Below are 25,517 nucleotides of genomic sequence, written 5' to 3'. Positions count from 1 at the left end.
AAGAGTGTAACTTATCACAGGTTACACTGTGATAGTCCAGGCTCCGTCCAATCAGACTGAAGCCAAAGGGAGAAGAAACAATGTCCGTTTCTCCTCCAGGATCTTTAATGAAGGCTCAGGCTATTATGCAAGAAAATCTTACAGAACTTGGGAGTCTGCAAAAGAAGAATCACTTACCTCCTAAGATTCATGTTAAGGATGAAGATGAAGTTTAAAATAACATATTTGAGGATGAAAGAGAAAACTGGAAGTCTACTTATTTTTAAAATGGTGCTTGGAACATTGGAATTTATAACTTATTTGAACAGGATATGTGAATGGTATCCTTTCAAGTTGCTCAATCCTGTATTTCTACTTGACAACAATCTCAGTAAGCAACCAAGCATTTAATTCCTAAATTTGCATATAAGTCAAAAAAAGGATCTTTTTATACTCCAATACCTAAGTTTTGATTCCACAAGAGAGAGAACATTCTCATGTAAGATTAGGAACTAGAAACATTATTACAATAGAATATAATTATGCATTAGGGAAAAATAAACTAAGAATGTAAAGGGAAAGACTAAGATTGCTCTGGAATTTAGTGGCAAGGTTGAAATGCACTGCCTTCAGTAAAACGGCAATAGAGGCATTCCAGAGGATCAGGAAAAAGATATAACAAATCTTAAGACCCATAGAATTTTCATGGTGCTCAAATAACAAGAACTGAAATCTGCACACTGTATCATTTCAACTGTGAGAAAACAGGTGTTGAGACCTACTGAGCAGATTGAAAAACAAACAGACCTTGGTCTGCTGCTTGCGGTGTATAGAGATATCACTCTAACGGCACATATCTATAGTCCCTCTTTCTCTTTAACCATTGGACTGCATAAATCCTAGTAACTCAGAAAGCAAATTGTGTCATGGAACAAATGAAGAAGAGCAGAGGAGTTTGAAATTTCACTTCCCAAGGCATTCCACTAACAAGATTGCCTTTTTGTTCAAAAGAGGATTACTGAGGACGAGGGGAAGTGAATGAAGGAACAATTGGGCCAGTTCTTATTTTCTTAAATAGCAAAAACTAGCTATATTATGTAAAAATATATGTAATTTAGGGTTTTTTTTTTTCTAAAGCAGAGAATGACAAATTAAAACCCTTAAGTCACAAAGAAATTTGACGTTTTCTTCTGAAATGCTGAACTTTCAGGCTCAGAAACTATATTATAGTTGAAAAAACATTTAGAAGCCAGGAAATTCCAAAGCAAGCCTAGAGCAGTGCTTATTTGGACACATTACACACGGTACATATTTTACAGGCCATGTCTAACAAATAACTAGAAGATGGAAAAAAAGTGTCACATATTAAACATGACAGTATAAATTCTATAACAGAAAGAAGAATTTTGAGATGTCCTGAATGCTACTCTGAAAGTAAATATTTTATTAATCCAATTTTAGCAATTCATTTTCATTTTTTAAAAAATTAGAACAAAAAGTCATCCAAGTTGAAAAAAATTACATGTGTAAAGTACTATGTACATCACCATCCTATAAATCTGGGAGGCAGTTCCTTCCCTTTTGGCAACTCTCTAAAAATCTCATGAAACAAATGCTTGTTTTCTTCAACCCCAGACCTTAATTTTCTGTCTTTGGAACTTAAAAATACTTACATAATTGTCTTCAAATATGGCTTGACTTTTCTTCCTTGATGGAAACAGCATTCTTGCCAACTTTAAAATTTATAGCTACAACCATATTTTTTTAATTTTTAAAAGCACAAAAAATACCACAACCCCTCAAAGTGATTTTGAAATGAACATTTCTTCATCTTCATAATCACTCCACGTCACCCCATGTCAATTCCAAGTCGACATACAAATGGAAAGGACATTTATCTCTGAGTCTTGGGGCAAAATATCACATTTAGAGATAATGATATTAGCAGCTAAAAAATATTCCAGTGACAATCATACTTAAGTCATTATAACTACATCATAAAGTAAAATGGTACATCTAGTAATCAAATGTGAGTGTATGTGTGTGTATGTGTGCACACGTGCATGTATGTGGAGAGAGTGAGAGACAGGGAGGATCTCTCACATTTATAGACTACACCATAGTTTTTTTTAAAGGATTTCCACATAACTTGATTAATTTGATCTTCTGACAATCCTGAAAGGTATACAAGACAAGGATTATTATTCCATTTGATACATCAGTAAACAGATAGAGAAAGGCTGAGCACCTTGCCAAAACCCAAAGCTCATCAGTGGCATATCCTGGAAAAACAACCTGGATTGTTGACTCCCAGATCAGTCCTTTAAAGAAGGTTTAAGTGTGCAATTTAAATTAGATGAGAAATGTGTAGAGTTGCTGGCTTTCTAAAGCAGTTTTACCTATGCTTCTTTTTTTCTCCCCAATATCATAAAGATTCATAGTCTATCTCACTGCTGGAAAAATAGGACCAGACACCTGGACCAGAAAAATAGGACCAGACACAGAGAGACTACGTCAAAAGATTGTGTTTGAAAGTCTTAAATTTGAAAAATCACCTGCCCTTGGAAACCTATAAATCAATATAATCAATATAAAACCATAGTCCAACAGCTTCTAAGGCAGCAAATATGGAAATTTATTGGAAAAGAAACTCTAGCTCATTTATCATAGAAAAAAAAAGTTTCAAGAAGATTATAAAGGTGAAATTTAAATTGAAGCACGGGTTATATAATATGTTTAAATTTGAACCTTTCTAAATGGATTATGACTTTTTCTACATTTTCCCCCTCTAATTGTGGTACCACAACAAGGCAGCATCCTTTTCACTTTTAAGTTATTGTGTCAAGTTTACATCGACATCTGCTACATTTTTGTAAGAACCTAACTGGCATTTGTAATCCATGAAAATCAACATTAAAGGCAGCATTCCTATTATTTTAAATGTCTCAAGGATTTGTTTGTCTTTTAAATTCCTCAGAGAAGCAGTGAGGAAAATGAAGAATGTGTCAGTTTAAATTTTTACTTGTGTGTCTCTATACTTTTCAATTATTTGGCAAGCTCCTAAAAGGCAAAAAGTTTTTTTCTTTTTCTACATTCCCCCCCCACCCACTATAGAAACTAGAGTAGAGCTTGGCACAGGCTCCCTAGAGTTCACTGACTGTGGAGGAAACCTGGAAAAAATTTCTGGACCTAGGGATAAGGATGTATGTTACAGTTTAGGTGAGTCTGCAGAAGGAAATGAACAGAACACATGGTGAGAGTCTTGGGGCTAAAAGAGAGGAGGGCAAGTCTGTGCGAAATGCCTGTGCAGCAAATACCTATCAAGAAGTGGGTGTGGGCAGGGTGGCTGCAAAGACAACTAGACTAGGGCACATATTTATCGTTGGGTTCTAACAAGAATACACGTATGCCACAGACAGAAAATGGTGGAAGAAATCTTATCTACCCTTCACTAGTAATCGTCATTGGATGCAAAAGATATTTACACAATTGGCTAGGACATCACAACCACAGCCAAGTTTAGGATGAGATAATTTTCAGTTGGATAATTGGGACTGTTCTCCCTAAAACATGCCTGTAAATTCCTCAGGCCACTGTTTAGTTTAGGTCACAGGGTCTGCATATCCATTTCTTCTAAGTCAGAATGTAATAAAATAAATTAATTTGACATTCTGTCATTTTTTTATTTGTCTCTGTTCTTGAATACTCAGTTTAAGTAAAAGTACATAGGCTCTTTTGTTTTACATTTTACATAAAATAGGCTATATTTTATATACTTGAAGTTGGAACCACTTAAATGCAAAAATATATTTTAGAGGTGATATCAAGATTATTTAAATCAAAAACTGGTTTCACTAATGGGCAGGAAAAGATAGTGCATTCAAGGTCTTCAAAATGTCACACAGTGAATAGCCAATCCTGAGTAACTAACCATAACGTTTGCATGATAACGTATATGAAAAATGGCAATATTTGTATACACACTTTACAGAAAATAAAATGTTCACCCCGACAGATTACATCTAATTTCGCAAAGTTTAAAAAAAAAAAAAAAACAGGCCTCTAGATTCTGACTTAGAAAAGTTGAAACATCTTTCATCCTGTAAATTACATGTGGTATTTCAAATTGATGTGAAAAACTGTTCCCCTCAAAATTTTAAACATGCATTAATTACTGTTTTTCTATAGGAGTTCAAGTACAAACTGCAGAACATCATCCAAAAATGATGAGATGATAAGTATGTAAGACATACATGACTTCATATGCTGCATAATAGAGCCAACTACTTTACTGAGAGAATAGTAAATATCCCTGCCCTACGACCATGGAGCTCAGACTTCCTAAGTAGGCACACTGAGAGTTAATCCTGGCACAGATTGTATTCTCAAAGGTGGTGAAACTGTAGTAAAAATTCACAATGTGTGTTTGAGACAAATCAACAGGAGGAATGCATGTGGCCATCAAGTGTTTCACGTACTTTGCGAAGCCAATGAAGTCTTCATGGTTGGTGTTGATGTAAGAGACTTGAATGTCAATCAATAGCAATACCTATAAGTCAAAGAGAAACACTTCAGTGAAAACCCATCTAAAAATTCTCAAACATTAAATTCAGTAATTGCCCACAAATTAATTACCTTCATATAATTTTTTAAAGGATACTTCAATTAGCATGAAAAGTAACCTTAACTTTTCTTTATTAGACTCATAATTTTGCACTCTAAATTCATAAGTTAAAAATCTACTAGAAAAGTAAATCTGAGCAGCAGATGAAGAGAATAGCATTATAACTTATAAGCATACACTATTTGCTACCTTAATACAGAATCTAGAATTATTTGATTTCTCTAAAATGTAGGCATACTGTTCAAAAGAAGGACAAGCACAAATAAGATGTGTGGCAGGAGGTCCCATGAGGGGTTGCGCTGAGCTTACTGTTCCTGTAGACATCATATATTAGCCACAAATTAGTAATTCACCTCTTTTTTTCTCTCTCCTCTTCTATCTTTAGCAGCTTAAAGAACCATCTCAAGACACTTTACACATTTCAGGAAAGCATTTGATCAGCCAACTCAAAAAGTCAATATACAAATAAATCATTGAATCCAAACATCAATCAGAAGCTGGGCATGGTGGTGTGTGCCTATAGTCCCAGCTACTCTGGAGGCTGAGGTGAGAGAATCTCTTGAGCCCAGGAGTTCAAAGCTGCAGTGAGTCATCATCAGGCCTGTGAATAGCCACTGCATTTCAGTCTGGGCAACATAGCAAGACCCCATCTCTTAATAATAATAGGTGGTGGCTGGTAAGATGGCTAAATAGGAACAGCTCCAGTATGCAGCTCCCAGTGAGATCAACACAGAAGCAGGTGATTTCTGCATTTCCAACTGTGGTACCTGGCTCATCTCACTGGGACTGGTTAGACAGTGGGTGCAGCCCATGGAGGGTGAGCTGAAGCAGGGTGGGGCATTGCCTCACCCAGGAAGCTTATGGGGTCAGGGAACTCCCTCCCCTAGCCAAGGGAAGCCATGACTGACTGTGCTGTGAGGAATGGTGCATTCTGGCCCAGATACTACGCTTTTCCCATGGTCTTCGCAACCTGCAGACCAGGAGATTCCCTTGGGTGCCTACACCACAAGGGCCCAGGGTTTCAAGCACAAAACTGGGGGGCTGTTTGGGCAGACACTGAGCTAGATGCAGAAGTTCTTTTTCCATACCCCAGTGGCACCTGGAATGCCAGCAAGACAGAACCGTTCACTCCCCTGGAAAGGGGGCTGAAGCCAGGGAGCCAAGTGGTCTAGGTCAGCGGATCCCACCCCCATGAAGCCCAGCAAGCTAAGATCTGCCATCTTGAAATTCTCACTGCCAGCACAGCAGTCTGAAGTTGGCCTAGGATGCTCTAGCTTGGTTGGGGGAGGGGCGTCTGCCATTACTGAGGCTTTAGTAGGCAGTTTTCCCCTCACAGTGTAAGCAAAGCTGCCAAGGAAGTTTGACCTGGGAGGACTCCACTACAGTTCAACAAAGCTGCTGTAGTCAGACTGCCTCCCTAGGTTCCTCCTCTCTGGGCAGGGCATCTCTGAAAGAAAGGCAGCAGCCCCAGTCAGGGGCTTATAGATAAAACTCCCATCTTCCTGGGACAGAGCACCTGGGGGAAGGGGCAGCTGTGGGTGCAACTTCAGCAGACTTAAATGTTCCTGCCTGCCAGCTCTGAAGAGAATGACGGATCTCCCAGCACAGTGCTCGAGCTCTGCTAAAGGACAGACTGCCTCCTCAAGTGGGTCCCTGACTTCCGTGCCTCCTGACTGGGAGACACCTTCCAGCAGGGATCAACAGACACCTCATACAGGAGACCCCCGGCTGGCATCTGGTGGGTGCCCCTCTGGGACAAAGCTTCCAGAGGAAGGAACAGGCAGCAATCTTTGCTGTTCTGCAGCCTCTGCTGGTGATACCCAGGCAAACAGGGTCTGGAGTGGAACTCTAGCAAACTCCAGCAGACCTGCAGCAGAGGGGCCTGACTGTTAGAAGGAAAACTAACAAACAGAAAGGAACAGCATCAGCATCAAAAAAAGGTGTCCACACAGAAACCCCATCTGAAGCTTACCAACATCAAAGACCAAAGGTAGATAAATCCACAAAGATGAGGAAAAAAACAGTGCAAAAAGGCTGAAAATTCCAAAAACCAGAACACCTCTTCTCTTCCAAAGGATCGCAACTCCTTGCCAGCAAGAAAACAAAATTGGACAAAGAATGAGTATGATTAATTGACAGAAGTAGGCTTCACAAGGTGGGTAATAACAAACTCCTCCAAGCTAAAGGAGCATGTTCTAACCCAATGCAAGGAAGCTAAGAACCTTGAAAAAATGTTAGAGAAATTGCTAACTAGAATAACCAGTTTAGAGAAGAATATAAATGACCTGATGGAGCTGAGAAACACAGCACAAGAACTTTGTGAAGCATACACAAGTATCAATAGGCAAATCGATCAAGCAGAAAAAAGGATATCAGAGATTGAAGATCAACTTAATGTAGTAAAGTGTAGAGACAAGATTACAGAAAAAAGAATGAAAAGGAAAGAACAAAGCCTCCAAGAAATATGGGACTATGTGAAAAGACCAAACTTATGTTTGATTGGTGTACCTGAAAGTGACGGGGAGAATGGAATGAAGTTGGAAAACACTCTTCAGGATATTATCCAGGAGAACTACTCCAACCTAGCAAGACAGGCCAACATTCAAATTCAGGAAATACAGAAAACACCACAAAGATACTCCTCAAGAAGAGCAACCCCAAGACACATAATCATCAGAATCACCAATGTTGAAATGAAGGAAAAAATGTTAAGGGCAGCAAGAGAGAAAGGCCAGGTTACCCACAAAGGGAAGCCCATCAGACTAACAGCGGATATATCTGCAGAAACTCTACAAGCCAGAAGAGAGTGAGAGCCAATATTCAACATTCTTAAAGAAATTTCAACGCAGAGTTTCATGTCCAGCTAAACTAAGCTTCATAAGTGAAGGAAAAATAAACTCTTTTACAGACTAGCAAATGCTGAGTGATTTTGTCACCACCAGTTCTGCCTTACAAGAGCTCCTGAATGAAGCACTAAATATGGAAAAGAAAAACCAGTACCAGCCACTGCAAAAACATACCAAACGGTAAAAAAAATCGACACTATAAAGAAACTGCATCAACTAATGGGCAAAATAACCAGCTAGCATCATAATGACAGGATCAAATTCACACATAACAATATTAACCTGAATTGTAAATGGACTAAATGCCCCAATTAAAAGATACAGACTGGCAAATTGAATAAAGAGTCAAGACCCATCAGTGTGCTGTAATTCGGGAGACCCATCTCATATGCAAAGACACACATAGGCTCAAAATAAAGGGATGGAGGAAGATTTACCAAGCAAATGGAAAGAAAAAAAAAAAAAGCAGGGTTGCAATCCTAGTTGCTGATAAAACCTACTTTAAACCAACAAAGACCCAGCCAGGTGCAGTGGCTCATGCCTGTAATCCCAGCACTTTGGGAGGCCAAGGCGGGCAGATCACAAGGTGAGGAGATAGAGAACATCCTGGCTAATATGATGAAACCCTATCTCTACTAAAAATACAAAAAATTAGCTGGGTGTGGTGGCAGGTGCCTGTAATCCCAGCTACCCAGGAGGCTGAGGCAGGAGAATGGCGTGAACCCAGGAGGCGGAGCTTGCAGTGAGCTGAGATTGCGCCACTGCACTGCAGCCTGGGTGACAGAGTGAGACTCCATCTAAAAAAACAATAACAACAACAAAAACCAACAAAGACCCAAAAAGACAAAGAAGGTAATTACATAATGGTAAAGGGATCAATGCAACAAGAAGAGCTAACTATCCTAAATATATATGCACCCAATACAGGAGCACCCAGATTCATAAAGCAAGTTCTTAGAGACCTACAAAGAGATTTAGACTTTCACACAATAATACTGGGAGACTTTAACACCCCACTGTCAATATTAGACAGATCAACGAGACAGAAGGTTAACAAGGATATACAGGACTTGAACTCAGCTCTGCACCAAGCAGACCTAATAGACATCTACAGAACTCTCCACCCCAAATCAACAGAATACACATTCTTCTCAGCACCACATCACACTTATTCCAAAACTGACCACATAAATACACTCCTCAGCAAATGCAAAAGAACAGAAATCATAACAAACAGTCTCTCAGACCACAGTGCAATCAAATTAGAACTCAGGATTAAGAAACTCAAAAGCGCACAACTACATGGAAACTGAACAACCTGCTCCTGAATGACCACTGAGTAAATAATGAAATTAAGGCAGAAATAAATAAGTTCTTTGCAACCAATGAGAGCAAAGACACAATGTACCAGAATCTCTGCGACACAGTTAAAGCAGTGTTTACAGGGAAATTTATAGCACTAAATGCCCACAGGAGAAAGCAGGAAAGATCCAAAATCGACACCCTAACATCACAATTAAAAGAACAAGAGAAGCAAGGGCAAACGCAAAAGGTAACAGAAGACAAGAAATAAATAAGATCAGATCAGAACTGAAGGAGACAGAGACACGAAAACCCCTTCAAAAAATCAATGAATCCAGGAGCTGTTTTTTTTGAAAAGATTAACAAAATAGATAGACTGCTAGCCAGATTAATAAAGAAGAAAAGAGAGAAGAATCAAATAGAAACAATAAAAAATGATAAAGGGGATATCACCTTTGACGGCAAAGAAATACAAACTGCCATCAGAGAATACTATAAACACCTCTATGCAAATAAACTAGAAAATCTAGAAAAAATGGATAAATTCCTGGATACATACACCCTCCCAAAACTAAACCAGGAAGAAGTTGAATCCCTGAATAGACCAATAACAAGTTCTGAAATTGAGGCAGTCATTAATAGCCTACCAACCAAAAAAAGCCCAGGACCAGATGGATTCACAGCTGAATTCTGTGATAGGTACAAAGAGGAGCTGGTACTATTCCTTCTGAAACTATTCCAAACAATAGAAAAAGAGGAACTCCTCCCTAACTCATTTTATGATGCCAACGTCATCCTAATACCAAAACCTGGCAGAGACACACACAAAAAAGAAAATTTCAGGCCAATATCCTGATGAACATCAATGTGAAAATCCTCAATAAAATACTGGCAAACTGAATCCGGCAGCACATCAAAAAGCTTCTCCACCATGATCAAGTCGGCTTCATCCCTGAGACTCAAGGCAGGTTCAACATATGCAAATCAATAAATGTAATCCATCACATAAACAGAATCAATGACGTAAACCACATGATTATCTCAATAGATGGAGAAAAAGCCTTCAATAAAATTCAACATCCCTTCATGCTAAAAACTCTCAATAAACTAGGTATTGATGGAATGTATCTCAAAATAATAAGAGCTATTTATGACACACTCATGGCCAATATCATACTGAATGGGCAAAAGCTGGAAGCATTCCCTTTGAAAACTGGCACAAGACAAGGATTCCCTCTCTCGCCATTCCTGTTCAACATAGTATTGGAAGTTTTGGCCAGGGCAATCAGGCAAGAGAAAGAAATAAAGGATATTCAAATAAAAAGAGAGGAAGTTAAATTGTCTCTCTTTGCAGATGACATGATTGTATATTTAGAAAACCCCATCGTCTCAGCCTGAAATCTCCTTAAGCTGATAAGCAACTTCAGCAAAGTCTCAGGATACAAAAATCAATGTGCAAAAATCACAAGCATTCCTATACACCAATAATAGACAAACAGAAAGCCAAATCATGAGCGAACTCCCATTAGCAATTGCTACAAAGAGAATAAAATACCTAGGAATACAACTTACAAGGGATGTGAAGGACCTCTTCAAAGAGAACTACAAACCACTGCTCAAGGAAATCAAAGAGGACACAAACAATTGGAAAAAACATCCCTTGCTCATGGATAGGAAGAATCAATATTGAAAAAATGGCAATACTGCCCAAAGTAATTTATAGATTCAATGCTATCCCCTCAAGCTACCATTGACTTTCTTCACAGATTTAGAAAAAACTACTTTAAATTTCATATGAAACCAAAAAAGAGCCCATATAGCCAAGACAAGCGTAGGCAAAAAGTACAAAGCTGGAGGCATCATGCTGCCTGACTTCAAACTATACTACAAAGCTTTGGTAACCACAACAGCATGGTACTGGTACCAAAACCGATATACAGACCAATGGAATAGGACAGAGGCCTCAGAAATAATGCCACACATCTACAACCAGCTGATCTTTGACAAATCTGACCAAAAAAAAGCAATGGGGAAAGGATTCCCTATTTAATAAATGGTGTTGGGAAAACTGGCTAGCCATATGCAGAAGACTGAAACTGGACACCTTCCTTACACCTTATACAAAAATTGACTCAGGATGGATTAAAGACTTAAACACAAGACCTAAAAGCATAAAAACCATAGAAGGAAACCTAGGCAATACCATTCAGGACATAGGCATGGAGAAAGACTTCATGACTAAAACACCAAAAGCAATGGCAACAAAAGCCAAAACTGACAAATGGGATCTAATTAAACTAAAGAGCTTCTGCACAGCAAAAGAAACTATCATCAGAGTGAAAAGGCAACCTATAGAATGGGAAAAAAATTTTTGCAATCTACCCATCTGACAAAGGGCTAATATCCAGAATTTACAAAGAACGTATACAAATTTACCAGAAAAAAAAAATCAAAAAGTGGGCAAAGGATATGAACAGACACTTCTCAAAAGAAGACATTTATGCAGCCAACAAACATATGAAAAAAAAGCTCATCATCACTGGTCATTAGAGAAATGCAAATCAAAACCACAATGAGGAGATACCATCTCACGCCAGTTAGAATAGAAATCATTAAAAAGTCAGGAAACAACAGATGCTGGAGAGGATGTGGAGAAATAGGAATGCTTTTACACTGTTGTTGGGAGTGTAAATTAGTTCAACCATTGTGGAAGACAGTGTGGCAATTCCTCAATGACCTAGAACCAGCAATACCATTTGACGCAGCAGTCCCATTACTGGGTACATACCCAAAGGATTATAAATCATTCTACTACAAAGACACATGTACACGCATGTTTATTGCACCACTGTTCATAATAGCAAAGACTTGGAACCAACCAAAATGCCATCAATGATACACTGGATAAAGAAAATGTGGCTCATATACACCATGGAATACTATGTAGCCATAAAAAAGGATGAGTTCATGTCCTTTGCAGGAACATGGATGAAGCTGGAAACCATCATTCTCAGCAAAATATCACAAGGACAGAAAACCAAACACTGCATGTTCTCACTCATAAGTGGGAGTTGAACAATGAGAACACGTGGACACAGGGAAGGGAGCATCACACACCAGGGCCTGTTGTGGGGGTGGGGGGCTAGGGGAGGGATAGCATTAGGAGAAATACCTAATATAGACAACAGGTTGATAGGTGCAGCAAACCACCATGGCGCGTGCATACCTATGTAACAAACCTGCACATTCTGCACATGTATCCCAGAACTTAAAGTATAATAAATTTAAATAATAATAATAATAATGTCAGATCTTTGCTAGAATATCACTCCTCAGAGGGATTTTCCTGCCCATTCTATTTAAACTAGCACTCTGGTTACTCTCTATTGTGTTACCCTGCCTTATTTTCTTTTGTAGCACTAACACTAGCTAACATGGCAAGTTTTTACATATTTCTTATATAGACCTCATCTGTTGTATCCACTGCTACATCTCCAGTGCCTAGAACAGTGCCTGAAACATCATGATAATTAAATGAAGATTTGTGATGGAGTAAACTGGATACATGTCCCAGGCAACATGAAAATATTCTAAATATAAGATACTTATAATCTCTAGGTCAGAGACTTGGGAGGTGCCTCTGTGAAAAATAGTATTCAATGGGGAGACGAGGAGGCTGACAGAAAACAAGAGAGAAGTGGAGCAACCAGAACCTGCAAAAAAGAAGGTATTATACCAGAGATATTCAAAACTGACTTCCTCTTTCTACGTTTCCTTGTGTTCTCCCAACTGAATCCTGTCTCTTTCCAGGATGCTGAGATTTGCTAAAAGGGAGAAATACGGTGCTTACAGATCTCTGCCTGAATATCTCCAGAGCTCTGCTCTTCAACTTTGTTGGATAAATTTTGGTGACTATTGTGAGTATTTGTTTGCTGCCTCCCTTCATTGAAGGTAGCATTTGAACGCATCAGAGTCCTCATGGCAACAGTTCATAGACATATTCTACATAATGCTCCCCAGTGGGTACTTCCTCAAGAAAGCCATCCATGATCCTTATCCCCTACCCAACCAAGACCAGGTTGGATTGTACTATTACTCTCAAATAGTCTATGTGCCATAATTATATACATACAGAAAATTATGTATATGTATAAAATTATGTATACGTAAAATTATGTATTCTATAAAATATAGGGTGCTATATACACATATATACCTATATGCATATATATGTTTCAATATGTACACATATGCATATATGTTCAAATATGTACACATATGCACATATGTTCAAATATGTACACATATACTTATATGTGTATATATACATATAAGCATATATACGTATATGTATGTATATATGTACATGTAAATACACACATATATACATACATACATATATGTACATGTATATATACACTATATATACATATATGTGTGTTTGTGTATGTGTGTGTATATCTATATAGCACCCTATACTTATTTGTGGCATTTACTACAAATGTAATTAATTATTAATTTTTTTTAATATTTCTCTTCTCTGCAAGAATGTACACTCCATAGAAGCTAGGATTATGTTTATCTTGTTCACCATTTTATCCTTAGAACTTAGAGCCTAGCATGATACACACAATAGGTGCCCAATAAACATTTGCGGCCTTATTTGTGTAACTATCTACCAGGCTTGAAGAACAGTTAACTCTTTTTTTTGTTGTTGTTTTTTGAGACAAGTCTCACTCTATTGCCCAGGCTGGAGTGCAATGGTGCAATCTCAGCTCACTGCAACCTCCGCCTCCTGGGTTCAAACAATTCTCCCGCCTCAGCCTCCCAAGTAGCTGGGATTACAGGCACCTGCCATCATGCCCAGTTAATTTTTGTACTTTTGTAGAGATGGGATTTCACCATGTTGGCCAGGCTGGTCTTGAACTCCTGACCTCAGGTGATCCACCCACCTTGGCCTCCCAAAGTGCTGGGATTACAGGCGTGAGCCACCGTGCCTGGCCAAGAACAGTTAACTTTCCAGGGAGTGATTTATTCTCACATATACATATATATAATTAGTACGTGGCCACTTGTTCTTGTTTTGTACTCAGTACCCAGTGCTATAGGCTGGAGGCTTTGTTTTTGTGGCTAATCTCAACCAGTCATCTGACCAATTCTTGCTGAGAGTCACAAGGGGACCTGTCAAAAAAAGATTTAAAAGATCACTCCAAATCTACTCCCACTACCAAAAATAAAGTCAAGGCATGGGGGCTATTAGGTCAATAACATCATACTTGTATGAAAAAAATTCATACAGTCAGAGTTTTGTTTCATATCTTGAAGAAAACTGAAACATTAGGAAGCGTGATCATTATTGGATTAGTTGTAGTTTTGCCTCTCTTCTCCCAACAATAAAGCCAGATTCAGTTAAATTGTATACTCCAAATCCATTTGGCCAAAAGTTTGTACCAATAAACTGTAATATTTGAACACAAATAAATTGTTGCCACTATAAGGAGCAAAATATCTACATAATTCTCAACATTGCCAAAGGCTGTCATGAATAGCTTTTGGACGTTCACACACATTAACTTGGACTGTAGTATAGGAAAAAAAGTGGAAAAAAAATAAAAGCTATGGCTGTTCTCATTATATTCCTGGAAACTGGGAGTCTGTGTTCACTCTAGGAAAAGAGCCAGGTCGCATGTGGGGGATGAAAAGAAAAATAATCCATTTTTTTCTCATTTTTTCACTTTCTCAGAGTTTCTCACTGCCTTTTTCATCCACAGTTATTGAATATTTAGTTGAAGCAAAGTAAAGCTACCCCTGGTAGCAGTAGTTGCCCAGAAAGTCCACTGCTTCAACATGCAGTGACATGTATGGAAGCACCAAGACTAACAGCTGGCACACTCAGACATTCAAAAAACCTTTGTTTAAGAAAAAGCTACAGACAGATTTATGGCTTTCCATATTCTTAATTTTGAAGATTTTTTTTTCCCACAAAGCTTCCAGAGCAGAAGTTGGTAGTAACTCTACTTTTTAAAGAAAGAAATAAAACTGCAAGAATGTCCCAGAGCTGTTCAGGCGCGGAGGCCTGAGGATATGGGTCACTCTGTCTAACTGGATACTTTAAAAGTACCACATGGTCCCAGGCAGCAGAGTCCAGAATTCAAATGCGAGATCCATCCAAAATGACATGTCCACACTACCAAAACCAGGCATGTTTCTGCTATGCCACACAAGTCCATATTAGAGGTGACCACTACCAGCTTTGACAGGCACTTGATAACTGTTGGACCACACCACCTGAGACTGTGACTTAGTAGGGAGATGCCTGCTCCATCCCTTATGTCCTACTTGAGGAATAAATTAACCACTGTAACTGAGTTGCAGATTGAAAACAATTTCCCTTGGAATCAGAAAAGGCAATTCTTCCTCGAATCTACCATGTGCCATAGCTCTTTGGGAATAACAACAAAAACAACTAAAATTAATTAAGAACTAAGATATATATATATATATATATATATATATATATATGCAGGGTCTTGCTCTGTCACCCAGGCTGGAGTGCAGTGGCATGACCATAGCTCACTGCAGCCTCAACCTCCCAGGCTCATGTGATCCTTCCACCTCAGCCTCCGAGTAGCTGGGACTACTGGTAGTGCAGGCCACCGTGCCCAGCTAATTGTTTAATATTTTGTAGAGAGAGGGTTTCACCATGTTTCCCAGCCTGGTCTCGAACTCCTGACCTCAAGCAATCTGCCTGCCTCAGCCTCCCAAAAGTGCTGGGATTACAGGTGTGAGCCACTACACCTGGCCTTGTATTTTGATTACTTCTTTCCATCCTCACAAAATGTCTGTGAGTTAACTACCACTATTGTCTCACTTTAAGATGCGAAAATTGAAGTGTAAAGATGTCAAATAACTTGTCACAAGTTACACAAAATGTTAACAACAGAGCTGAAATTCAAATTCAGGTAGTCTGAGCCCAGAGCCCACAATCTTAACAACATGGTGAAGTTTGAACATGCCATTTTACTAAAACAAAAACTCTGAAATATGAAGAAGCTAGCAACTGACATAGATATGATTACAAATATTTAAAATGCTTTAAATAATTATCCTATATTTTCTCCAATATTATTTTGACAGCGGATCCTAAAGAGTTAAGTAGGATTTATTATCATTTGAATATTATAGATGAAAACACTAAATTAAAACAGTTAGCTTATTTACTTAAGGTCAGGAGTACAGCTGATTCTTAAGAACTTAAGTTTTCTCAGCCCAGGAGGGGCCAAGACATTAGACATTAGGGAGAACCTCTGGCCCTAGGGCTCCATATCTGGCTCTAGGCTTGATTTCACTGACTCAGGAGTTAATACTGATTTGTTCATCTCAACTGAATCACAAAGCCTGTTTTCTCCTCTTTTGGCTATTGCAGCTATCCAAGACTGTGAAAGTTGGTAAACAAGTGAAAACTATAAATGGTGATTAATTAACTTTCAAAACACAATGATAAAAAGTAGTGACAATGAATCCACAGCTCAAGCAGAGACAAGGTGGTTACTGGAATCACTCACGAATGTCCCAATCTGCTGGGTCTCCATCCCTCTGTCCTTCCTTTTCTCCTTTCTCCTCCACCTGCTCCTCTTCCCCACGCACACTCTGTGTGCTGTGTGTGTCTCTCCCTGTGGTTTTTTCCTCTCTCTTTTATTTTGTCTTCTTCCTTTTCCCCATTTCTCCCTCACCTCCTTCCCACTCATCTGAGAATCACAAAATCCTGTAATACTAACTTACACAGGCTTTCAGAGAGCATATAGACCAATATATTAATGCTGTACATGAGAAAACAACAGTCCAAAGAAGTGATTTACACAAGAACATGATGTTATTTTGTGGCGAGCACATGGCCTAAGTCCAGTGTTCTCTCCACAACATCACACGTGCAGCTGTGTCATGGAATTCAAGGGTATGTAAAACCATTTGTATTTCCTGTTATAATATTTTATAAGTAACTAAGAAAAATCCATTTAAACCTAAGAAGATTTTTATTCTTTCCACGTAGTCCTTTACTTTTTTAAATGAATTATCCTCACTTGAAAATAATCTTTCCAAATTACAAAGCTAGGATTAGAAAACAATTTCAGGGTCACTCCTTACAAACCACATACATTCACAAAATAGAAATGTTTAAAAGAGTAGTTCTCAATTTTTTTTTCAATCATAGGTTGTATGGATAAGCTGATGAAAATCTAGGTCCACTCTCTCCTCAGAAAAAAATGAAAACACTGAGCATTTTGCATAATGTTTTAGGAGTTTGTGAATCTTCTGGAGTCCATCTGTGGGCCCAATAAAAGTTAAGAACCTCTGTCTTAAAGAGAAAATGTGGTATGTTTCTGGATTAGTGGTTTTCAAAGTAGGATGTATGCATGATCCATGGAGCATTGAGAAAAAAAATAATGAAACTCCTGTTACTGCTTTTGCATCTCATTCTTCTGAATGAAGTCTTTTTATTTGCTCATATTTTTAACATAAACAAGATATGAATATAGTATGTGTATAATTCATAAATAAGTAAAAATAAACATAATGTAGTTGTGTTCCACTATTTTTTTTTCCTTTAAGCGACAGGCTGACTGTTGGGAACTACCAGACAACCTTGCAGAGACCTTCGACCTCCCACAATCTCCCTGCCCACCAGGGAAGACCTCTCTTTACCTGGTCCTTTGTCTTCCCTTCTCGCTCACGAATGTGGTTAGCAACAATCCTTTCCGTTTCCTCGCAGAGTCTGGGGAAGTTTGCCAGCTGTCAAGAAAAGCAGATCTGAGTATTAATACTCAAAAAGTTACACTACCAAAAAAGAAGCAGAGATAAATTATGTTATTTTACAGAAGATATTCATTGCCATTCTGGAAGCAAAAATGAAATATCATCAACTCCTAAAGAAGGATGTCAAGGTGATGGGAGAGGCTTCACAAACTATCATCAGAAGTAACCTTGTTATGTTGAGGAAACACTTCAAAACCAGCAGAGCAATTCCTTAGGAAGAAAGCAGAACCCTAGATACCATCTAGCACTGTGCTCCTGCTGAGTTGGCACTTAATAAAATTCAAAGATGAAGAAGTCGGAAAACAGGACAAAGAAAAGGATAATGACTAACATTTTATATAGTGTCTACCACGTGTCAGGCGCTAAGAACTTCATGAATTACCTCTTTCACTATTCACAGCAATCAGAAAAGACAGATATAATTATTAACCTCATTTCTTTTTTATTTTATTTATTTATTTATTTTGAGACAGAGTTTTGCTCTTGTCACCCAGGCTGGAGTGCAATGGCGCAATCTCAGCTCACTGCAACCTCTGCCTCCTGGGTTCAAGCGATTCTCCTGTCTCAGCCTCCCGAGTAGCTGGGATTACAGGCACGTGCCACCAAGCTCAGCTAATTTTTGTATTTTTAGTAAAGACAGGGTTTCACCATGTTGGCCAGGCTGGTCTCTAACTTCTGACCTCAGGTGATCCACCTGCCTTGGTCTCCCAAAGTGCTGGGATTACAGGCGTGAGCCACCACGCCCGGCCAACCCCATTTAATAGAGGAGAAAAGTGAAGCACAGAGAGGTTAAGTAACTCATGCCCATGACTAAACAGCTCAAAAATGGTTGGTTCAGGATTCCAACCTAAGTCCTAGGACTCCAGAGCCCATGGTCTTGTCCATTACTCTTCGAGCATGATTCATCCCATGAAGCACAAAGAGACTCCTTTAACTTTTTAAATTCTCCCCCACAGAAAATATATGTGTATATGTACATTTTTTTTGCAAAACTATGGAAATTGTGTATGTCAATCACTTAACCCCATCTAAATTATGCAGGTAATTGTTCAAAACATAGTTTGCAAAAGTGAATACCTTAATTCAGTTGTTTTCAATATAAGGAAGAAAGAGAATGGGATGCTATGAAAATGTTTAAGGAGCCCTAATCCAGAAGGAAGACTTAGACAGGCAAAGGTGTGTGAGAATGGCCGTGGAGAAGATGAAGCTTGCCAGGAACAGGAACATGTGTGAAGGCATGGTGGAAGTGGGGGCAATTAGTGGCGATAAAAGTAAAAGAAAGTCCGTGCAGAAACTGAGGAGTATGATCCTCAGACAAAGCTAGAAAAGTAGAGAGGGGCCACATCAAGCAGATCCTTGCAATTCTATCAGGAATTTAGGCTACTGAAGCAATTCAGATGGAATGGAAATAATGGTGGCTTCTACTGGGATGACAGCAATGGAAATGGAGAAAAGTGGGCACATTCATGACTTAGGCCAGGCAAAATATTAATTCCAATGATGATTTTTAAAGTGCTTGCAAATTAATAAGATTAACAGATAGCTCAATAAAATAGGCAAAGAATATGATTTAATTTGTAAAAGACTTAATAGTCAATAAGCAGAAGGAAAAACAAACTGTACAAGTGATCTAATGCAAAGAAAAGAAATAACTATTATATTGGCAAATTGCTATTTTTTTATAAGACTTACTACAGGTGAGGGTATACTGAGATTAGCACAATTTAAACTTGCTGAGGGGTGTCAAGAAGAGAAATCTTTCTGGAAAGCAATTTGACATTATGTATCAAAAGTCTTGCACGCGCGCACACACACACAAACACACACACACACACACACACAAACACAGAGACAGAGAGAGAGATCTCAACCTAATAACCTCACAGAATTCTGAACTACAATGATAAGGACATTCATCACAGCATTAGTTGGAAAAGCAACAATAAGATAAACAAACTATAAACTACCTAGTATCTGATGATGTTAAATAAATGAAGGTAGATCCACTTACGTGATGTAATGTAGCCATTTTGAATAACAGTTTTAATAATAACTAATGACATGGTAAAGTATTTACAACACTATTTGAAGAAAATTAGGCTACTAAATATATAATGTGGTTATGCACAAGCATAATGTTTTGGTTTGGATATTTCTTTCCTCCAAATTCATGTTAAAATTCAATCCCCAATGTGGCTATATTGACAAGTGGGGCTTTTAAGAGGTGATTGGGCCATGAAGGCTCTGCCATCATGAGTGGATTAATCCATTCATGGACTAATGGATTAATAGGTTATGGGAGTGGGACTGGTAGCTTTATAAGAAGAGGACTAGCGACCTGAGCTAGCATGCTACCACACTCAGCACCCTTACAATATGATTGATACCCTGCACCAGCAAGAAGGCCCTTACCAGAGGCAGACCCTCAACACTGGGTCTTCCATAACTGTAAGAAATAAATACCTTTTCTGTATAAATTCCTTTTCTGTATAAAGAAATAAATTCCTTTTCTGTATACCCAGTTTCAGGTATTTTGTTATAAACTACAGAAAATGGACTAAGACACATCCACACACACATGCACACACACACAGAGTCACACACCACCATACACCCTTGACATTTTTCAAGGATATAGCCCAATCTTACAAATACCAACATTCTTGAGTAATATTATAGCATGTAATATTTCTCCAAACTCATAAGGAGTTAGATCTAGGCCTCCCTGAAATGGGGCTTCTGTATGGTCACCTGAGGTCACTGTGCACATTACCTTTATAGCATGCACAACATATATTAGTGTCTTAGCAAGTTAACAAACTGCAGTACTTCATGAAACCATCATAATCACGAGATCTCATATACATTAAATCTTCCATTGCTGCAAGTCTACTCTCTGTGCATAGAAAAAGATTTGCACAGATACTATAAAGTGTTAATAGCAATAACTCTTTGAATTATGCACACTTTTATTTATCTACATTTTCCAAATATTTCAACAGTGGATATAGATTATGTTCATAACATCATAAAACCATAGAAACCTGACTGCTTTGGTTACCACAAAAATCATCACCAGCGTCTCCATGAGGTCCTCGATTTCTCACCCTCTTATCTGAATCCTGAGATGCACGCTCACCTGGGGGCTTATTTCATGAATTACCGCAAGATACAAATGGAGCTCATACTTCCCATTTTGGAAACATTCTCCAGAAAAAGCTCTATTATACCAGAACCCCTCTTGACTCTCTGAAAGTCCTCCAAGTTATTTTTTGTGAGGCTTATAAAAGCCTTCAGAGTGGAAGAGATAGCTGATCAATTCCAGTCCTTCTTGACTAGTGCAAACCTGAGTGGTGTATCTGACACCAAACATTAGCCTGCCCTAGGTCACCAAGACAATCAATTCCGCCTGCACTCAGACAGCTTCCCAAGCTATTCAATGACAGCCACACTATTATAGAATCACATTGCCTCAGAGAAGTAACTACGCAAGCATTTGAGGTCTACCAAGGAAGAGTGAGATGGCTTTAACAGCATTTAGCAAATAGATTACAGCAGAAAGTTATTTTTAAAACCATCAAATAGTGGCAATATAAATATTTATTCAGATACTAAACACTTGATAGCTGAAGGACCCCAGGCCAGTATATGGCCATCATTAAGTCAGGGAAAGGCCAAAATGACAAGAATATCCCATGAAGTAGAGACATCTAAGAATGCCTCCAATCTACTGGCCTTGGCAGGAGCATTGATTTGTGTGCACGTGTGTGTCTCCTGATCTTTTCAAGCTTACTGCCCATGGGCTTAATTCTACCAGAAAAGGAATCTGTAAGAGCCACAATTTTGTACCTACAATTGAGACAACTGGAAGTCAATAAGCCTGAATTCTAAGTGGAACAAAAGAAACAGAGAACACACTAGAAGAACTACCATTATGGAGACAAAGGAGGAAAAACCTTGAAGAGACACTAAGCAATGTAGGATCTAGGCCCACCACTGAATGGCATTAATGAAACAACTGGTTTGGTTACTAGCTGGTTGATATTGAACTGATTGTGGGAGTATAAGAGTCAAAATCTTGGTTTTAACTGCTGGCTTTCAAATATAAAATATATAAATATATATAAATAGTCCCAAACATATAAATAGTCCCAATTCTTAAGATACATACATACAGAGGTTAAAAAATAAAGTCCTACTGACATTTCAATTGATTTCTGATTAGGCTTTCTACCACTCATTTCATTATCTCATTTAATCTCATAATGAGATTATTTCATGATCTCATTCAAACTGTGCCCTGCTCAGTTTGTGTCACCCTTTACTTAGCTTTAAAACATACTTAACTTTGATTGCTCAATTCAATCCCTCACCTCTCTTCTATGTCTCTTATTTAATGTGCAATCACCATTTCCTCAATCATTTATACCATTATAATTGTCAATCACTTTTGCACTTTTTTAATTTGAATGTCAAATTAAAAGCCTACAGTTGTAAGAATATGGGAGTTCTTATTTGTCAAAGTAATCAGAATATTAAGTATGTATGCCTAAATAATATTGATCTAGAAGATGTCTTTAGGCCTTTATTCCTCTAATGATTAATTAAATAACCTATAAATTGGTTTATAGAGAGTCAAGGGATGAAGGATTTGCTATTAGTTATAATAATTACATTCCTAAATTTATGTCACATCAGTCATTCATGGTGCAACTGCTACAGTCCAGCTCCATGCTCAGTTTATATCATAACACCTGATATTAGAAACCACATAGTCTTGAGTGGCAGGTTGCCTATACAGATAAATAGTCATACAAGAGAAATATTTTTTAAAAACCAATGGGAAATATGAAGAAATAAATGCATAAACCAGGTGTGAGAGGTCCTCTGAGGATTTGATGCTTATATTATAATAGTGAAACTTGCAGTCAAAGCTATACATTTATTATACAGCAAATTAGTTCTAAATAGCTTATAGTTCAAATTGCATTGAATATTCTTTTTTTTTTTTTTTTTTTTGACAAAGTCTCGCTCTGTTGCCCAGGCTGGAGTGCAGTGGTACATCTTGGCTCACTGCAACCTCCACCTCCTGGGTTCAAGCAATGCTCCTGTCTCAGCCTCCTGAGTAGTTGGAACTATAGGCGCCCACCACCAGTCCAGCCTGGGTAGAGTATTCTTAAATAATAAAGAAGATTCAATGGAGAAATAATATAATATACACGACTTTAGGAATCAAAACCTTCAATATTTAATTCAAGGAGAATATTTTAATTATACATGTTCTGAGAGAAAGCAGCAAAACATGTTTTAATAAGGTCCAATGTTGTAAGTGTTATTTAGGGTACTGATTAATTATTTTGGTGGAACCTCAATATAAAAATTTAATTTCAGTATGGATCACATTTTCCTAGAGAAAAAAAAAAACACTTGGGAGACATTTCTATCCAACAAAACAAAAATTATACACTTCCAAAATGTATTAACAGTTTATCAGACCATAAGATCTACGCTATGCTAGTACATTTTTCTCAAAATGGTCAAGAGACCAGGCAAGATTTCCATATCATCAAGAGGAACAAGTTTGATGCCTCTAGCAAAGACTGGAGTTATTAGGTAACCGTCTAAGAAAATAAATTCAGAACAAAATTTCTTCTATACATATCACTTGACTTGATTGATTTGGCTGACCTAAAGATAAGGGCTTTTATGAAAAAGCTATAAACCTTTAAATGCTGGCTGCTTGCTACAAACCAAATAGAAATAATGAATTTTAGCACTCATAAAAGCATACAATTTTTTAATTTCATTTTCTGTGAATTAACCACCCACCCAACCCAACAAAATCCCTAGCAATCCTTTGTTTTTATATAGCATAGTGTTGTATTTATTCAGGATATGAGAAGGCAGTCATCTGCGCACAACACATTTGCTATGAAAAAAATTTTTTAAACAGATGTATTTGTAGAAACATTTACAAAGGTGATTGAAGATAAGAAGCAATTCTAATATAAAGAGATCAAGAAATAGTGACTGTTTTCTAAGTTGTACAGGGGTTAATGGGAAAGTTCCTTATGGGGTGTTCTACATTGGCATATGAGTGGCATATGAGAAGTCAAAGAAGGTCAAAGTGAAGTTGGCAGGAAGGGAAAAGGAGTGCCAGATCCCAACTAGGTGAACTGGGACCAAGTGGGCTAGTGTTAGCCCACCTTCTCCAGGTGGGCAAATCCTTAATCCAGAAACCTCAAATATTTTCAACAAATAGCAGGAGAAGTGGTGAGGTATAAGATGGAAAAACTTTTAAACAGAGAAATGAAGAGAACTCTAGTGTTATTTATGAAATGCTAAGGAATAAAAACAAAAAAGTCCTCACCTAAGAAACAAGGAGAGTAGAAAAACAAAAACAAAAAGTCCAACCTTGAGTGAATAAAACTTGGGTGCCGCAGAGTAGTCAGAAGAGCCTCTTACTTAAGTAATTCAGAAAACATCCAAAAAGGAATCCAGGGTGGGTTGACATGGTGGCAAAACAACACCTGAAGATCATAACCAGATTTTTATCTCTCTCTTCCCAAGTTTATCTCTGGTAGACATATTAATGAGCAGTTAAAATGGAAAAAAACTTCACAACAGAAAGTGGGAGGAAAATCAGGGACCATGGTAAATTATAAATTAAGAACCAATTATAAAGATTGCAAATCCTTTAATGAGTTGTAAGATGAAAAGGTGAGATTCTATCCCATTAAAACCAAGTCCCAGGCCTGAATTTCCTATAATACCCAACAAAAGTTTCAGACTTTAATAACCAGTCTGATTCGAAGCCTGGGCACTAAAGCCTATTACATTAGACATGTATTACATGCAAAGCACAGCACAGAGTTTGACTGGATGGCAACCATTAGAGGGGGTGAAATGCAAGTATTTTCTTTTTTTTTAATTTTTTTCTTTCATTATTATACTTTAAGTTTTAGGGTACATGTGAACACTGTGCAGGTTAGTTACATATGTATACATGTGCCATGCTGGTGCGCTGCACCCACTAACTTGTCATCTAGCATTAGGTATATCTCCCAATGCTATCCCTCCCCCCTCCCCCCACCCCACCACAGTCCCCAGGGTGTGATGTTCCCCTTCCTGTGTCCATGTGATCTCATTGTTCAATTCCCACCTATGAGTGAGAATATGCAGTGTTTGGTTTTTTGTTCTTGAGATAGTTTACTGAGAATGATGATTTCCAATTTCATCCATGTCCCTACAAAGGACACGAACTCATCATTTTTTATGGCTGCATAGTATTCCATGGTGTATATATGCCACATTTTCTTAATCCAGTCTATCATTGTTGGACATTTGGGTTGGTTTCAAGTCTTTGCTATTGTGAATAGTGCTGCAATAAACATACATGTGCATATGTCTTTATAGCAGCATGATTTATAGTCCTTTGGGTACATACCCAGTAATGGGATGGCTGGGTCAAATGGTATCTCCAGTTCTAGATCCCTGAGGAATCGCCACACTGACTTCCACAATGGTTGAACTAGTTTACAGTCCCACCAACAGTGTAAAAGTGTTCCTATTTCTCCACATCTTCTCCAGCACCTGTTGTTTCCTGACTTTTTAATGATTGCCCTTCTAACTGGTGTGAGATGGTATCTCATTGTGGTTTTGATTTGCATTTCTCTGATGGCCAGTGATGATGAGCATTTTTTCATGTGTTTTTTGGCTGCATAAATGTCTTCTTTTGAGAAGTGTCTGTTCATGTCCTTTGCCCACTTTTTGATGGGGTTGTTTGTTTTTTTCTTGTAAATTTGTTTGAGTTCATTGTAGATTCTGGATATCAGCCCTTTGTCAGATGAGTAGGTTGCGAAAATTTTCTCCCATTTTGTAGGTTGCCTGTTCACTCTGATGGTAGTTTCTTTTGCTGTGCAGAAGCTCTTTAGTTTAATTAGATCCCATTT

General features: G+C 38.1%; 1 protein-coding gene across 25 annotated transcripts in view; it reads right to left on the bottom strand.

Annotated features, from left to right (window-relative positions):
* DNM3 (dynamin 3) overlaps positions 1-25,517 on the bottom strand; it is a 576,969-nt gene that overhangs the window by 332,107 nt on the left and 219,345 nt on the right. For all 25 annotated transcript variants that reach the window (NR_146559.2, XM_017000979.2, NM_001350206.2 and 22 more), the window contains exons 11-12: positions 17,455-17,541; positions 4,458-4,528 (exon numbers count right to left, since the gene is read on the bottom strand). Coding sequence is in view for 24 of the 25 variants with exons in the window: in XM_017000979.2 (XP_016856468.1) it covers positions 4,458-4,528; positions 17,455-17,541 (158 nt within the window). In the remaining variant the exon portion in view is untranslated. The remainder of the gene's footprint in view (positions 1-4,457; positions 4,529-17,454; positions 17,542-25,517) is intronic.

The sequence above is a fragment of the Homo sapiens genome, chromosome 1, assembly GCF_000001405.40.
Source record: "Homo sapiens chromosome 1, GRCh38.p14 Primary Assembly".
NCBI classification, from domain to species: Eukaryota; Metazoa; Chordata; class Mammalia; order Primates; family Hominidae; genus Homo; species Homo sapiens.
The sequence above is the reverse complement of the archived record's forward strand: the minus strand, read 5'-3'. Positions and strand labels throughout refer to the sequence as shown.